At 38.8% G+C, this 17,744-nt stretch overlaps 1 protein-coding gene across 11 annotated transcripts in view; it reads left to right on the forward strand.

The window, feature by feature from the left end:
• The window catches only part of PLS3 (plastin 3), an 89,688-nt gene extending 75,362 nt beyond the window's left edge, over positions 1–14,326 (forward strand). For 10 of the 11 annotated variants that reach the window (NM_005032.7, XM_047442172.1, XM_047442171.1 and 7 more), the window contains 9 exons: positions 301–443; positions 3,873–3,968; positions 6,778–6,973; positions 8,486–8,564; positions 9,537–9,651; positions 9,867–10,000; positions 11,015–11,138; positions 11,358–11,482; positions 12,894–14,326. In NM_005032.7, the coding sequence (NP_005023.2) occupies positions 301–443; positions 3,873–3,968; positions 6,778–6,973; positions 8,486–8,564; positions 9,537–9,651; positions 9,867–10,000; positions 11,015–11,138; positions 11,358–11,482; positions 12,894–13,026 (1,145 nt within the window). In that variant the 3' untranslated portion in view covers positions 13,027–14,326. Of the gene's footprint in view, positions 1–300; positions 444–3,574; positions 3,602–3,872; positions 3,969–6,777; positions 6,974–8,485; positions 8,565–9,536; positions 9,652–9,866; positions 10,001–11,014; positions 11,139–11,357; positions 11,483–12,893 lie in introns of all 11 variants that reach the window. The other variant, NM_001282337.2, reaches the window with a different exon arrangement.

The raw sequence follows: 17,744 nt of genomic DNA on the forward strand, positions 1-17,744 counted from the left end.
AGAACAACTTATACAAACATATGACATAATGTGAAGCTTGCATTAAGCTTAAAGGCCATAACCTCATTTGGTATTTGAAATGTGAAGAATAACAGAGAAAAGAATAAATTGTAGTATTATGTTATTATATCTGTTATATATTTATCTTTTTTAGTAGATTATGAGTATCTTGAAACTAGGAACTATGTCATAGTAGTTTTTGCACCTCTATTACTTAACAGTGTCAAAAGACTGAATGAACTTGGCATGACCATTATTGTGTCATATAATAACTGTGGGATTTTTTTTTTTTTCTTCTAGCCTTGGCTGCTTTACTCCGAGATGGTGAGACTTTGGAGGAACTTATGAAATTGTCTCCAGAAGAGCTTCTGCTTAGATGGGCAAACTTTCATTTGGAAAACTCGGGCTGGCAAAAAATTAACAACTTTAGTGCTGACATCAAGGTAACTGTTGAAAGAATCACAACATTTTGGGGGGATATAATAGCTGGAAGATTTCATCCCAGCTTAACAGAGAGAAAATCCTAACACTGTATCACCAAGCCTTGTTGTCTCTTGGCCCTGAAGGTAGATTTTAGAAGAGTAATAGAGCCAGATAAGGTACATTAGCACCTATGTTTTATTTTGTGGGAAAAGGTAAAAATATTATGCTAATTTATCATATTATAATGCTAATTTGTTATATCCTGCCTATTGGTAAACATGGAGTATTAAAGAATAGGACATGACTATTCTATTCTTAACTGCCTTTCCCAAGCCTCAGTGTACCTGTTAGTAAACACACCTAGAAGAGATAGGAAGGGCCTCATGATTTCCTCTTCACCTTTTTTATTTGGCTTCTCTCCTGTCATTTTATCCTACCTTTAGTTGTGAGTTCCTCGAGGATAGCAATGAGCTCTTATTTATGTCTGTGTATCCTACCTCAGCCCCTGCTCCAGGGCCCTCCTACTAAAGCCAACTTAAAACATAGTATGTGGCATATACAAGTCCCTCATATTTCTTGCATTGAATTGAATTTTTTTTTCACTCACTGTTTATCATGAGCAGTGGGGGAAAACTAACAATGGAGGAAGACATTTATTACATGTTGCCTTTGGCTTCTCATGCAGAGGGCCAACATTACCATAGCAAACATTGTGTGGAGTTCTCCTTAACTGCCTCAATTCTGTGTGACATCCAGATGTTGGTACACAGGGAATAAACTTAAGGATCTTCATCAGATGTCACTGACCAGCAAGGCTGTGAAAACAATACTATGTGATGATATGATTTTGTTCAGTGATGAGAGGAAGCAGTGAGTTGCCTGTACTACTGATTTCATCCATGAAAATTAAGAGTAGCCCCAAAATTATAAGACCAACTGACCCTGCCCTCTCTTTTAATTACACAATATGTTTGGCCAGGTTTGTTGTTGTTGCTGTTGTTGTTGTGACAGGGTCTCACTTCGTCACCCAGGCTGGAGTGCAGTGCTGCTAACATGGCTCACTGCAGCCTTTACCTCCCAAGCTCAAGCAATCTTCCCACTTCAGCCTCCCAAGTAGCTGGGACTACAGGTGCACACCACCAAGCCCGATTGATTTTTTTTTCTTTTTCTGAGATGGAGTCTCCCTCTGTCACTCAGGCTGGAGTGCAGTGGCACTATCTCGGCTCACTGCAACCTCCGCCTCCCAGGTTCAAGAGATTCTTCTGCCTCAGCCTCCTGAGTAGCTGGAATTACAGGCATCCACCACCACGCCTGGTTAATTTTTGTATTTTTAGGAGAGACAGGGTTTCACCATCTTGGTCAGACTGGTCTCAAACTCCTGACCTCATGATCTGCCCACCTCGGCTTCCCAAAGTGCTGGGATTACAGGCATGAGCCACTGTGCCCGGCCTGATTTTTTTATTATTTGTAGAGATGGGGTCTCACTGTGTTGCCCAGGCTGGACTCAAGCTCCTGGGCTCAAGTGATCCTCCCACCTCGGCCTCCTAAAATGCTGGGATTACAGGCATGAGCCATGGTACCTGGCCAGCCAGGTATATTTTGCTTCATGCACTAGATGCGTTCCTGAAAATCAGCAAGCCAACCATAAATGGATTTTATGTAGTGGGATATATTTTAAATGTAAAGAGAAAATCTTATTTTTGTAAATGAAGCCTGCTTTGAATTTTTTTATTTTTTATTTTTTAAATTATTTTTTGTTTATTTTTTTTTTTGAGATGGAGTCTTGCTCTGTCGCCCAGGCTGGAGTGCAGTGGCGCCATCTCGGCTCACTGCAAGCTCCACCTCCCAGGTTCACGCCATTCTCCTGCCTCAGCCTCCTGAGTAGCTAGGACTACAGGCACCCGCCACCATGCCTGGCTAATTTTTTTTGTATTTTTAGTAGACATGGGGTTTCACCGTGTTAGCCAGGATGGTCTCGATCTCCTGACCTCGTGATCTGCCTACCTCGGCCTCCCAAAGTGCTGGGATTACAGGCATGAGTCACCGCCCCCGGCCATCAATATTTTTAAAAAGGAAATAATTGTTTGGTAATGTGAAAACTAACTTCCAGTTTATCTGTATTCAAGTTCAAATTTTCACCTGTAAAGCCCTTTTCAGGGTAGTAAATACAGATTTTGCTGGGTCTGCTCTTTACTTGTTCTTCTCAAGAGCATAGGTTTATTATAAATTGTTTGTGTAGCTTTAGCAAGTAATTGGAAGTGAAAGCACTTTCGCAATTGTAGTACACTATTCCTTAAGAGGTAAATGCTATGCCCCCAAATGATAGAATCGGAGTTGGCATTTTATGAATTGCTCTGAAATAGCTTTCAATTACCTGATTTTCCCCATTCTTAGAATCATTTATGGCACCAAGTTTCAAACTCACCTGGGTAACTGGTTTAAAAGGCACCTTTCTGGGCAGCTCCCAGACATTTATATTTGGTAGCTCAGGAATTGGATTCAGTAATTCACATATTGAGTAACTTCCTCAGGGGTTAGTATGCACATAGACTATGAGAAACACTCCTTCATAGCCTGTCTGGACCTTCAAAGCCCAGTAACAGGAAACTATTAATATCGTAGCTGGAAGGTGGTCTTCACATATGGCAGGATTAAGGAATCTTGACTCAAATTCCGGTCCTCTAGCATTCCAAAGATGCAGGAATTTACTTGACACGTGTGTAAAGGTTCTTAATAAGCGTTTGTGCAAGTACAATAGTTTTCAAGCTGTGTTTTGTGGAGTTGTCCACACAACCTGAATTCATGTTGACTGTGAGCCAACCCCATTGTTTTATGTATTGGGATTCTAAGAAAACAACATTCAAGTGATTTAGTCCAGGGGTTTAAAACGAAAAGAGACCTTTGTTTTGTTAAGTACATTCAGATCATAGAGGGTTCAGTGTTATTTTAGCAACTAAAATGTTTACCATTTAATGCTTTTGTCATTTAAATTTACAATTAAATACATCTTTAACATAGCTAATCTCTTCTTCGTAGGTTGTGGTATATGCATTGTGCTTTGTAATGATATAACCTGTTTATTTTCTCTTTCTTCTATGCTTCCTGGATTTCTGCTCTCCTACTTTTTTAAATGCTTGTTTTGTCTGTCAAGCTTATTGACTTCAGTAATTCAGTGAAGGTACAGAACTGGTTATATGTTTATTAGCATTATTGTATTGATGACTTTAATAATTGCGAAGTCATGTCAAAATCCAGTTCATCCATATGCAAGACAGATATAAGGCAGATAGATGGACTTTTCTGGGGAAAACACCTGTTAAATTAAAAGGCAGAGATTTGTGCCATTTATTCTCAAAAAATCCAATGCAAATAGCCTTCCAAACATGGGACAATAGGATACATTCATTCCTTGTAACTGTGATCTCACTGACATTTTCAATTCTTTGTAGGATTCCAAAGCCTATTTCCATCTTCTCAATCAAATCGCACCAAAAGGACAAAAGGAAGGTGAACCACGGATAGATATTAACATGTCAGGTTTCAATGTAAGTATAAGTGCTCTTTTGAATTCTACAATCTTGCAAAATTATTGTCAATTTCTTATAAGTACAATAATTTTTATAATCGTATGAAGTAGAGTTGGCAATTTTAAGCATTATTTTAAAATGTATTACTGTACATGTAATTCAGAGGCCAGAAAACTAGCTTTGATTTATTTTGATTGTTAGTGAATTCCATCGTTGTTGTGGTATTGATTTATATGGATGGCATAAAATATTCAAAACAAGTATGGGGAAATAAGTAACTAGAAGCTAACCTTTTCCAAGTATTTGGATTACAACCACAGTAATAGATTTAGTGACTATATGAAAACCTTTTCCAAGTATTTGGATTATAACCACAGTAATAGATTTAGTGACTATATATTCATATTCCTGTGTTGAGAGTAATGTGATTATGTTTTACAAACTCCCAATCTATGAAATCTAATTTAGGGAATTACTCTCAGAGACCATGTTCCCTGGTTATGTCACTAATTTGTTTAGTGACATTGGACAAGTTCCTTCTCAAAATTGGATTTCACTTTGTTCATCCATAAAGTAAGGAGTTAGAGTGAACTATTTAGTCCCAAGTTTCTAGGAATCTGTGGTTTTTGTACCCATTAGATATGGAATGCATGCTACTAATTAACAAAATCCACATATCTAGCCTATTATGCCATAGGATGGAGTGGATTACATTGGCTAAACCATTTTTCTTCTCTTTCTTTTTTTTTTTTTTTTTTTTGAGACAGAGTCTCACTCTGTTGCTGAGGCTGGAGTGCAGTGGCACCGTGTCGGCTCACTGCAACCTCCATCTCCTGGGTTCAAGCAATTCTCCTGCCTCAGCCTCCCGAGTAGCTGCGATTACAGGCGCCCACCACCATGCCCAGCTAGTTTTATATTTTTAGTAGAGATGGGGTTTCACCATGTTGGCCAGGCTGGTCTTGAACTCCTGACCTCAGGTGATCCACTCGCCTCGGCCTCCCAAAGTGCTGGGATTACAGGTGTGAGCCACCGTGCCTTACGTGGCTAAACCATTTTTATGCTGCCCTTATCAGAACTGAATTTGTAACTGACTTGTGTGCTTATATTTCTGTCTGTATGTTAAATGCAAAACTCTTCAGCTCAGGTCACTCTTGGTAGGGATGAGGGGCCATCTTGTCCAAGAAGGGAGCTGTCTGGGTTGGCTAGCCATGTGATCTGATACCAGGGTAAATGGCATCAGTATGCTAACCGATTCTGATACACCCCTTCTCTAGTCAATCCTTTCCAATTGATCTTAAAACACTCTTTTGTCTCTTCCCTCTTCAGAATCCGACAAGGATTCTTCTGTTGACTCTAGAATTCAGTCTGAAATGTTCTGCTTGGCACTCACCCTACAAATCTTGCTCTAAAATCTAGCCAGTGTTATTTCCCCAAAAGTCTGTGTTCCCCACCCCAACCTTCCTTCCCACCACCACCCAGGTGCCTTTGCTCATGCTGTTCTCATGGTTTTCAGTGTCCTTCATCTTTTTCAGCTTTACACCTTCTTTAGGGTCTTTTTTTTTTTTTTTTTTTTTTAAGAGACGAGGTTTCGCCATGTTGGCCAGGCTGGTTTCGAACTCCTGGGCTCAAGCAATCCTTCTGCCTCGGCCTCCCAAAGTGCTGGGATTACAGGCGTGAGCCACCACGTCCAACCAAGGCCTAATTTTAACTCTGAACAGTTTTACCTGTTTTTTATTTCAATTTAACTTTTTTCTCTTCGTCTTTGTAATGGAAAAAATCCCTTCCTTTCGTCCTAACTTTTTTAATCCTTCAATTCCCTGAGATTAATCCTTGGTCTTGCCTTCCACCATTCTCCCTACGCTCAAAAGAAATCAGTGGAAATAGATTCTCTGCTTCTCTTCAATTCAAGCAACAGTTCACAAGCATTTCCCTTGGGATTTGAGCATGACATGAATGAAGGTGTCTGTCTTCTCCCTCAGCCAGGGAAGCCTACTTCCACAGCTCAGCACAACTTCCTCTCTCTCTAGCTCGCTCTCCAGCAGTGCCCTCCTTTCTAGTTCCTTCTGCTGCATAACACAGCCCCAGAGGTTCCAGGGTTCCAAGGAGTCCACTCTGTCATGAAGCTCATTGACTTAATGCACAGTACCCAGAAGCCTCAGTGAAGTTCAGCTGAGAGCCAGTAGAAAAAAGGAGAAACTCCAAAGCAGAAAGTAGTAAATCAGCAAAATAAAATAAAATAAGCCAGGTTGAAGAGAATGAACCCACAATTTACAGAAAATGAACACCATTTTCTAAAGGAGACTTAAGTAGGACTACAGTTAATACCCTTTCACATTTAATAATTAATTGAGATTCATTGTAGATAAAGTACATTTGAAAAAAAATTTTAACATAATTCTACTGAAAATATCTGAATATTTAACTTGAGGTGGCTTAAAAGGACAATTGAAGCTGTTTTCCTATTGAGAAGGAAAAAAGGAAAAGTGGAACCAGAGAAAGTGAAGATGGTGAATGTATATTTTTCTCTACAGATTTTCAAACAAAATCTGGGAGTTTCCCCCAACCTTTTACGTAACTTCTTTCTTAATGCAATTTAGTTAAATGTACTCAGTAGTTTGCTGTGTGATCTGGCGCCATCTAGTGTATATTACAGGTACTGCATCTCCAAGAGGGCCAACCTTTTTTTTTGCATTCAAAACAATTTTATAATAAGTACCATATGTTAGCTAAAAGAAAGTAGAACTGTATACCCAGACTATGACAGTGGGGAAATTTTCTATATTTTTAGTGTGGCCTTTGACAAAGTCTTCCGATTTTGTTTCAACAGGAAACAGATGATTTGAAGAGAGCTGAGAGTATGCTTCAACAAGCAGATAAATTAGGTTGCAGACAGTTTGTTACCCCTGCTGATGTTGTCAGTGGAAACCCCAAACTCAACTTAGCTTTCGTGGCTAACCTGTTTAATAAATACCCAGCACTAACTAAGCCAGAGAACCAGGATATTGACTGGACTCTATTAGAAGGTAACTAAAAACCTCAATTTCGAATGTGTGGGACTATAGAGTAGAAATACATAGGCCACAATGATTTTACAATCTAGACTTAATAAGTTTTTTTATATCTACAAGAAGTAGATGGCAGATGCTGAGTAAAAACTGGCAGGAAAGTACGATACAAGTGAACTTTTAAAGTAAAGTAGTCGAGGCCGGGCACGGTGGCTCACAGCTGTAATCCCAGCACTTTGGGAGGCCGACATGGGCGGATCACCTGAGGTCAGTAGTTTGAGACCAGCCTGACCAACATGGTGAAACCCCGTCTCTACGAAAAATTAAAAAATTAGCTGGGGCGTGGTGGCACATGCCTGTAATCCCAGCTACTCGGGAGGCTGAGGCAGGAGAATCACTTGAATCTGGGAGACGGAGGTTACAGTGAGCCGAGATCGCGCTATTGCACTCCAGCCTGGGCAACAGAGTAAGACTCCATCTCAAAAAATAAATAAAAAAAATAAAAAGTAGTCGAGTCGCTTAATGTAAAGCCACTTAGTAAATCAGTATTTAGTTTTAATATTTAGGGTTAGACCACTTTTTAATCCTCTCACCAGGAAAAAGTGCACATATGCATTCAGTTTGACCTGTAAATTTAGCATATATTTATGTTTCATTCATCCACAGTCAATGTAACTGGAACTAACCCCAACTCCTTTCACCTTTACCTCCTCAAGAAACAAATGATAATATATACTAATTTTTTTTTAAGTTTTGGAAAGGCAGAGTTTACCTTTTCCAGATTATATATGTGTGAAGCGTAGTCTATAAAAATTAAGAAATGCAGCCAGGCGCGGTGGCTCACGACTGTAATCCCAGCACTTTGGGAGGCCAAGGTGGCCAGATCACCTAAGGTCAGGAGTTCGAGACCAGCCTGGCTAACATGGTGAAACCCCGTTTCCACTAAAAATACAAAAAATTAGGCAGGCATTGTGGTGCGCACCTGTAATCCAGATACTCGGGAGGCTGAAGCAGGAGAATCCCTTGAACCTGGGAGGCAGAGGTTGTAGTGAGCTGAGATCGTGCCATTGCACTCCAGCTTAGGCAACAAGAGCAAACCTCCATCTCAAAAATAAATAAATAAATAAATAAATAAATAAATAATGCAAATAGTAATTCATTGAGTGTCCACTGATATTTCTATAAAACCAGTAACTTAACTGATAACATCAGTTACTTTGAGGGATGCAGATTCGAGGAAATATTGGAGAAAGATTTGAGAAGGAGACTATAAAAAGTTCATAAACCTCTAAATTGCTTAACTGGTTAGAATAAGGTTGTATTCTTTAATTTTAAAATAAATTCAAATTTTAAAAATAAGCCTGTACCTAGAGAGAATGTATGTACTTAGAAGAATGCTTGGAAACTCGTATTATCGAAAAATTCTAGATCTGAATAGAGAGATAAAATAATCTAATATGTGTATTGGCACTATATGCACATACATAAAGTGTTTAATGAATCAGTAAATTTTGTGAATATTCTTAACAGGAGAAACTCGTGAAGAAAGAACCTTCCGTAACTGGATGAACTCTCTTGGTGTCAATCCTCACGTAAACCATCTCTATGCGTAAGCCTTCCTACTGCTATTGTAAACAGTTACGAATGTCATGAATGGATGTTAAATAATGACAGCTCTAAAGATTTTCTAGATATTAATTTGTAGCTATTATTTATATTGGAAAATGTCAAGTGGTGATTTCCATCATCATTTTCCAAATACACAAAAGCTTTAAGTATTCCTTTACATGATCGTTAACTGTAAGTGATAGAATATATAAATGTCTTTATAGTACCCTAGGGAGCAAATACTTTATATTTTGAAACAGCTGTTTGGGAGGTTGAGGTGGGGGCATTGCTTGAGCCCAGGAGTTTGAGGCTTCAGTGAGCTATGGTTGTGCCACTGTACTCCAGCCTGGGCAACAAAGTGAGATCCTATCTCTAAGAGGGAAAAAAAAAGAAAGGTAAAAAAGAAAGAAACAGAGACCAGGGAATCCTTTAAGTAGACCATCCACAACAACTCAGGGACTTTGGTTCATTGTTCTCTCAGCCTGGAACGTTCTTTGCTCGCATATAGTGGCTCGTATCCTTACTGTATTCCAGTCACTGATTCAAAGATTTCCTGACTACCACCTGCTACTCTCTAACCCCTAACCCTAGTTCCTTTTTTTCTTAATAGCACTTACATACACCCCTAAAATTGTTTGTTTATTGTCAACAAACCAATACCCCCCGTATTGTTTGTTTATCCATGTACTTGTTTATTGTCTATCTCTCTGACTCTAATGCAAGGACAGGGATTTTTGTCCTGTGGGCCCAGCCTCTAGAACAGTGCCTTGCTTACAGTAAGCTCTCAATAAATACTTATAAATGAATGGGATGGTCTTAGCTCTGTTTTCAGCACAGATTGATAGAAAATATGAGTCTTGGGTATTATTTATGGTTTTATATATCTTGTTTGACAATGTAGTGTTACTGTTTTTAAGGAAAGTCAAGTCCCAGCTTCCTGAAAACACTGATTACATTATTTTTAAATCATTAGTGACCTGCAAGATGCCCTGGTAATCTTACAGTTATATGAACGAATTAAAGTTCCTGTTGACTGGAGTAAGGTTAATAAACCTCCATACCCGAAACTGGGAGCCAACATGAAAAAGGTAGATAATTAAGTTGCTGTATATATTTGTTAGAGTATTTTTATTCTCGATTAATTTCTTTTGTTTCTAAAACTCTTGACGCTGAGCTTCTTGAGGACAAAACTGTGTCTTATTTGTTTTTGTGTGCTGATACCTAGCATTATACAAGACACACACACACGTATGCAGATTAAACAAATGGAAGTCTTTAACCATTTACTCTTGTGCCTTTGCAGCTAGAAAACTGCAACTATGCTGTTGAATTAGGGAAGCATCCTGCTAAATTCTCCCTGGTTGGCATTGGAGGGCAAGACCTGAATGATGGGAACCAAACCCTGACTTTAGCTTTAGTCTGGCAGCTGATGAGAAGGTATAGTACACAATTTTAGCTGTTTAGTCTTTACTATCATACAGGTCTGTGATTTAGTCCTTACTGTGTTTAATAAGTGGATATGTCGATAACTACACTTTTGAAATATGTTATATTTACACTCCGAAATGAGTTTAATTAATGAATATATGTTGGATGTTAAGTGGGAGATGCTTCCTTGCAAGTTAGGCAGCAGAACTATGGTTAGTCCCTTTTTTAAAAAATAGGAAGCCTGACACACAGATTTCGGCCTCGTTTAGTGTCAGTGAATTAAAAAATTGTCAGAACAAAATTATGAACATCTTCATGCTCATTTGAAAATAAAGATCTCTCTCTGTAATGCTGATGAAGATCACTATAATGCTGAAAAGCATTCATTATGACTGGGCACCAGCCAAAGCACAGCTTATTTTATGCCATTACCGCTATTGGAATAGTACAAAATGTGCCTACAGTGGGCTGTTGGACCTGCTCATTAAAGCACTGTCAATCTGCTCCTCTCTCACCACTACAAAGAGTAGATCAGTAGCAAGCCACTACTGCTTGAAATATTTTTTTCACATAGTGTGAATCTCTTTCCATGAAATCTTTAGTCCTTGAAATTTAAGGAATATAGGGGCCAGGAGTGGTGGCTCACGCCTGTAATACCAGCACTTTGGGAGGCCAAGGAGGGTGGATCACGAGGTCAGGAGATCAAGACCATCCTGGCTACACGGTGAAACCCTGTCCCTACTAAAAATATAAAAAATTAGCCGGGCGTGGTGGTGGGCACCTGTAGTCCCAGCTACTCAGGAAGCTGAGGCAGGAGAATGGTGTGAACCCGGGAGGCGGAGCTTGCAGTGAGCAGGAGATTGCGCCACTGCACTCCAGCCTGGGCGACAGAGCGAGACTCCGTCTCAAAAAAAAGAAGAAAAATTTAAGAAATATAAAAAGTGGAAGATAAAGCATCTTTCTGATGTTTGCATTTTTCCTCATAAAGTAGATGGTGACGTTTTCTTCTGCTGCCTCTCTTAGATATACCCTCAATGTCCTGGAAGATCTTGGAGATGGTCAGAAAGCCAATGACGACATCATTGTGAACTGGGTGAACAGAACGTTGAGTGAAGCTGGAAAATCAACTTCCATTCAGAGTTTTAAGGTCAGAATCCATATTTGACTATTAAATATTATGTTTGCTGGATAACATCTATCATTTGGGAAGGCAACTTTTGGCTTCTTTGTGAGTGAGAATTAGTGTTGGGCTAATGGCACAATTCTTTACGAATTCACTGGGCTTTGTTTTTGGCACTTGATATAAGTAAGCACATGTTAATTTGTATGTATCAAAATTCTCAGATTTGTTCTCCTTTCACACTAGGACAAGACGATCAGCTCCAGTTTGGCAGTTGTGGATTTAATTGATGCCATCCAGCCAGGCTGTATAAACTATGACCTTGTGAAGAGTGGCAATCTAACAGAAGATGACAAGCACAATAATGCCAAGTAAGGGAGACTGCTAATAGTATGAAAAGAACGCAGCTTTGTAGCTGGACAGATCTGAATTCTAATTCAGGTTCTGCCATTTAAGAGTGGTGTCACCTTGGGAGAAACCTCTTGGAGCCTCAGATTCCTCATCAATAAACTGGGGGCAATAATACTTACCTTAGATTTTATAAAGATTAAATTTTTAAAAATTATAAGAGCCTAGCCTTGTGCTTGGCCTACTAGGTGCTTAGTCGGTTGTTGCTTCAGTGGATTACAGAAATAATGTAGCATGTATTTTAATGCAAATCAGGTAAAACTTTACAAGGAAAATAAGAGCTTAGGGTGTTCATCTGTCTGTCTCATTCTTTTTTTAAAAAACGCATTATCCACTTATGTCTCTTTTACTATACATAGATCATTCTTACTACATTTATTGAATTTATCTTCATCAGTTCCCATATTAACAGAATGCTTGCTAGCCCTCCACAGAAGACTATGCCTTGAAAGTTTCTTGCATTTCAACAATATTCAGAAGGTCTTTTCCACCAGCCTATTTTCTTCTTCACCAAAGGCCTAGAGTGTGACCTGGCTTCATGGGTGACCCATGAAAACCTTACTAGTTAGACATTGAAAATCCATCCACAGTCCTGCATTACCGAACAGCTAAGAAGCATTCCTGCAAAACTTTGGAGTTAGGCACATTATTTCTTTTTTCCTTGAAAAATATTTCTAGCAGATATGACAAAGGTCTAATATCCACAATATATCAAGAACTCTTGAAATCTCTTTTTCTAGAAACTCGATGATTTAATTATCTTTAAAGATTCTGGTTCCAACACACCTAGAAATACTTCACGGATTAGTTGAGATGTGTTCCTGAAAATTTCCCTACCTGGACATCTCAGTTCTTCTGTCCCTTCGTCTACCTTTTCTAGTTTTTGGTCCAGCCACTCTGTCCACGTACCACGTAGACTGTCTCCCCTCTCATGAATACTTGGAAGTATTCATTGCATCTGCCTAACAACTTGGGTTTTGCATCTAGCATGATTTTCCACCTCATATCTCTAAGATGACTTGAGTGTGTGTTATTATGTGTGCAATGAGAATATTAACATGGATTGTATAGACAGCCTAGGTAATTATATATATAAAGTTGGTGCTTCAAGCTTAATTCTCACCTCACATTGGAGAAAAAGAGTGAATAAATATTATTAGCCCCAAATAATAGAGCTTAAAAACCTACTGTAACTTCAAAGTGAAATCAAAACCCAAATCAAAAGAAAACAAAAAGCAAAACTGTTCTAATTGGAACTATCAATATGGAATTTTTGCATCCCAGCATAATAATTATATATGAGGAAATAGATGTCTTACGTGGTGTCCTTAACTGACAAGAATTTCATCCTGATTTTGTTTCCCCCTAAAATAGGTATGCAGTGTCAATGGCTAGAAGAATCGGAGCCAGAGTGTATGCTCTCCCTGAAGACCTTGTGGAAGTAAAGCCCAAGATGGTCATGACTGTGTTTGCATGTTTGATGGGCAGGGGAATGAAGAGAGTGTAAAATAACCAATCTGAATAAAACAGCCATGCTCCCAGGTGCATGATTCGCAGGTCAGCTATTTCCAGGTGAAGTGCTTATGGCTTAAGGAACTCTTGGCCATTCAAAGGACTTTTCATTTTGATTAACAGGACTAGCTTATCATGAGAGCCCTCAGGGGAAAGGGTTTAAGAAAAACAACTCCTCTTTCCCATAGTCAGAGTTGAATTTGTCAGGCACGCCTGAAATGTGCTCATAGCCAAAACATTTTACTCTCTCCTCCTAGAATGCTGCCCTTGACATTTCCCATTGCTGTATGTTATTTCTTGCTCTGTTATCTTTTGCCCTCTTAGAATGTCCCTCTCTTGGGACTTGCTTAGATGATGGGATATGAATATTATTAGACAGTAATTTTGCTTTCCATCCAGTATGCTAGTTCTTATTCGAGAACTATGGTCAGAGCGTATTTGGATATGAGTATCCTTTGCTTATCTTTGTAGTACTGAAAATTTGCCGAAGTAACTGGCTGTGCAGAATGTAATAGAAGCTTTTCTTATTCTTTTATTCTTAAGATCAGTATCTTTTTACAGTATTCTTTCTACATGATCCTTTTTTGTACATTTAAGAATATTTTGATTATATTAAACAAGACTGCTGATTTTGCTACTTTTTTTAAGGGGTCTTCAAGTAAGTAAAACATACATCGTAGCTAGAAGAAAAATGTACCTTAAATTTGCATCTTCCCTCTCATACCCAAGCTGTAAACAATTGAAATATTTTGTCTTAAATCACTTGGTTCAATACATGCTTATTTGTTTTAAAACCTGTATCATCAAACTCTCTCTCTAAATTTAAAATGCTGTTGAATATGATACTTTTGAGGAGAGAGTGTGCTCAGAACTTAGACGGGATTTGGTAGGCCAAGTATGCTAAGTGTACAATATATTTTTTAATTTTACACCTGAAACAAAGAAATGTGGTCACTAAAAATAAAAGTATATATGTAGGAATTAATGTACTCTTGCTTTGTCAAGCTGTTTGCTATAGTTTCCAAGGTATTATGTTACTCTAACTCTGAAAAGTGATGTAATCTGGTAGCAATGTAGTAGTTCAAATAAAGGCATTTACATAATAATTAGTCTGTTCTTCATGCTTTTGTCTCTTAGGAAGTATGCCAATGTTTGTCAGGATTTTTTTCTTTTTGTTTTTCTGATGTATTCTGTAAAATGGTGTTTGTTAAATTTGAGTTTTGGGAGCTGAATTAGAGGTACTGAATTAAGGACAGTACAAATGAAGTAAAAAGGTTTTCTCCAATTTACCAAAATTTCTTTATCCAGTTCCTGCTTTTTTCTTTCTTTTCCACCTCCCTCAGTCTTTTCAATGTTCTATGATATACATATCCTGAAACAGTGGGGATCTGAACAGTCACAGAGGAGAAATGGTTCATAGTAGATCTTCTCAATCTCATCCATATATGACATTTTTGGCTGGATAACTCTGTTGGGGTGGGGAGAAGGGGCTACCCTGTGCATTGTAGGAGGTTTAGCAGTATTACCGGCCTCTACCCACTAGATGTCAGCACATGCCCGGTGGTGTTGACCAAAATTGTCTCCAGACATAACCAAATGTCTCCTGGGTGGCAAAATCATCCCTTGTGGACAATCAGTGCCCATTTAAGCCTTTGTGTGAATGAGTAATATAAGGTGTAGTCTACTGAGGATTTGGTTACATAGAGATACTATATAATACTTTGCATTTATAATCTGAGAGATGGAAAGGCCTTTTTAAATATCACCTGAATTCCAAAGACATAAAATTAAAAAAGGATATATTTGACAACTCTACTTTTGCAAATATATATGTATAATAAAAAAGATCAAAATATAGATAACTAAAAAAGTGAGTTCAGTCTCAGATTATAGATTCTTTTAATATAAAAATAGGATTTATGAGTGAAAAAAAGACAAATCTGCAAACATACTAGGGTAACTGATGAAGTAAGGACAATTACATCTTAAGACCTGTCTTATGCCTTGAATCTGCCATACTCATTCACGTTCATCTTCGTCGAAGTACAAAGGTTCTTCTCTGTAAGCCCTAACGCCTTGAAGTGCCTCTTTAACAAGATAGGAAAGATATATTACATGTGGCCCTTTCTTCAAAAAAGGAGCTGATTTCTTGGGTGGTTCACTATACAGGGCCCACAGCCTGTAGGAGTGTACCATGGGATAGTTAAGTGTTCATATAAAGCAGTGGACCTGACACACAATTTTTTTCCTCCAAAAACTAATTTCAACAAATAAGAATGTGGACCAAAATTAGCAACACATTCAGAATTCTGCTGGGCGTGGTAGCTCATAACTGTAATCCCAGCAATTTGGAAGGCTGAGGCAGGTGGACTGCCTGAGCTCAGGAGCTCAAGATCAGCCTGGGCAACACGGTGAATCCCCATCTCTACCAACATGGTGAATCCCCCATCTTTTCCCCACACACCTGTAACTTCAGCACTTTGGGAGGCTGAAGTAGGAGGATTTCTTGAGGCCAGGAGTTTGAGACCAGCCTGGACAACACGGGGAGACTCCGTCTGTATAATAAAGTTAGCTAAGCATGAGGCTGGGTGCGGTGGCTCAAGCTTGTAATCCCAACACTTTGGGAGACCAAGGTGGGTGGATCACCTGAGGTGAGGAGTTTGAGACCAGCCTGGGCAACATAGTGAAACCCCATCTCTACAAAAATACAAAAATTAGCCAGGCATGGTGGTGGACACCATAATGTGTCCCACCAGCTACTCGGGAGGCTTAGGCAGGAGAATCACTTGAACACTGCGGGCAGAAGTTGATGTGAGCCGAGATTGCGCCACTGCATTCCAGCCTGGGTGAAAGAGCTAAACTCCATCTCGAAAAAAAAAAAAATTAGCTGAGCATGGTGGTGCATACCTGTGGTCTCAGCTACTTGGGAAGCTTAGGCAGGAGAATCACTTAGTTCAGTTGATCAAGGCTGCAGTGAGTTGTGATAGAACCATTGCATCCTAAACTGGGCTGCAAGACTCCATCTCTTAAAGAAAATAAAGATGATATTCCCCCTCTATCCTAATATGCTGAGAGATTGATTTTTTAAATTTTTGTCATGAATGGGTGGGTAGATTTTATCAAATGCTTTTTCTGCATCAATTTATATCATCATAAAATTTTCTTCTTTACCCTATTGATACGGTGGATTACATTGATTAGTTTCCAAAGATTAAACAAACCTTGCATGCCTGAATAAATCCCACTTGGTCAGTGTATAATTCTTATTCATTGTTGAATTTTATTTGCTAATATTTTATTGAGGATTTTTGCATCTAAGCTCAGAATGACGTTAATTTTTATTTAAATGTTTGGTGCAAGTCTCCAGTAAAAGTGTCCAAACCTGGAGATATTTCTTTAATGGTTATGGGGCTATTCAGATTATCTATTTAATCTTGATTGCGTTTTGGGTGGCTTTTGAATTTTGAGGAATTTGTTCACTTCTTCCATGTTGCTGAATTTGTGACCATAAAGTTTTCGTAGTATTTCCTTAATTATCTTTTTAATAGCTGCAGGATATGTAATGATATCTTCAGTTTGATTCCTCACAGTGGTGATTTATGTCTTCTCTCTTTTTAACCTTTGTCAGTCTTGCTAGAAGTTTATCAATTTCATTACTTTTTTTAAGAACTAGCTTTTTGTTTCTTTGTTTTTGTTTTTCTATTTTATTGATGTATGGTTTTATCTTTATGATTTCCATCTTTCTGCTTTCTTTGAATGTGTTCTGCTCTTTTTTTGTTGTTGTTGTTGTAGCATCTGTCCAAGACAACCGTAAAAAGCCACTAACCTCAATAAACTACCCATACAGAATTATCTATTTCTCCTTTCAGCCATATCAGTTTTATTTTGTTTTTTGTTGTTGTTGTTGAGACAGAGTCTCACTGTGTTGCCCAGGCTGGAGTGCAATGGCGTTGGCTTGCGGCAACCGCCTTTTCCGGGTTCAAGCAATTCTCCTGCCTCAGCCTTCTCAGTAGCTGTGATTACAGGTGCCCACCACCACTCCCTGCTAATTTTTTTTTTTTCTATTTTTAGTAGATACAGAATTTCACCATGTTGGCCAGGCTGGTCTCGAACTCCTGACCTCAGGTGATCCACCAGCCTTGGACTCCCAAAGTGCTGGGATTATAGGCATGAGCCACCATGTCCGGCCACACCCTGCTCAGTTTTTATGTATTTTGAGACTGTGTTGTTTGGTGCTTACACATTTAGGGTCACCATTTCTTTTTAGCTAATTGATCTTTTTCTGATTACATAATGTCACTCCTAGTCCCCAGTAATTTTCTTTGCTCTGTATTCTACTTTATGTGATATTAATATAGCCTAGCCATTCCTGCTTTTTAATGTTTACATAATTGTCATTTTCTATTCTTTTATTTTCGAGCTGCATTCATTATGCTTGAAGTGAGTTTCATGTAGATTGCATATCGTTGGGTCATGTGTTTTTATCTGTGTTTTAATTTTTTGCTTGTTTGTTTGTTTTGAGATGGAGTTTTACTCTTGTCGCCCAGACTGGAGTGCAGTGGCGCGAGCTCAGCTCACTGCAACCTCCGCCTCCTGGGTTCAAGTGATTCTCCCACCTCAGCCTCCTGAGTAGCTGAGATTACAGGCATGTGCCACCATGCCCGGCTAATTTTGTATTTTTAGTGGAGATGGGGTTTTACCATGTTGGCCAGG

The sequence above is a fragment of the Homo sapiens genome, chromosome X, assembly GCF_000001405.40.
Source record: "Homo sapiens chromosome X, GRCh38.p14 Primary Assembly".
NCBI lineage: Eukaryota > Metazoa > Chordata > Mammalia > Primates > Hominidae > Homo > Homo sapiens.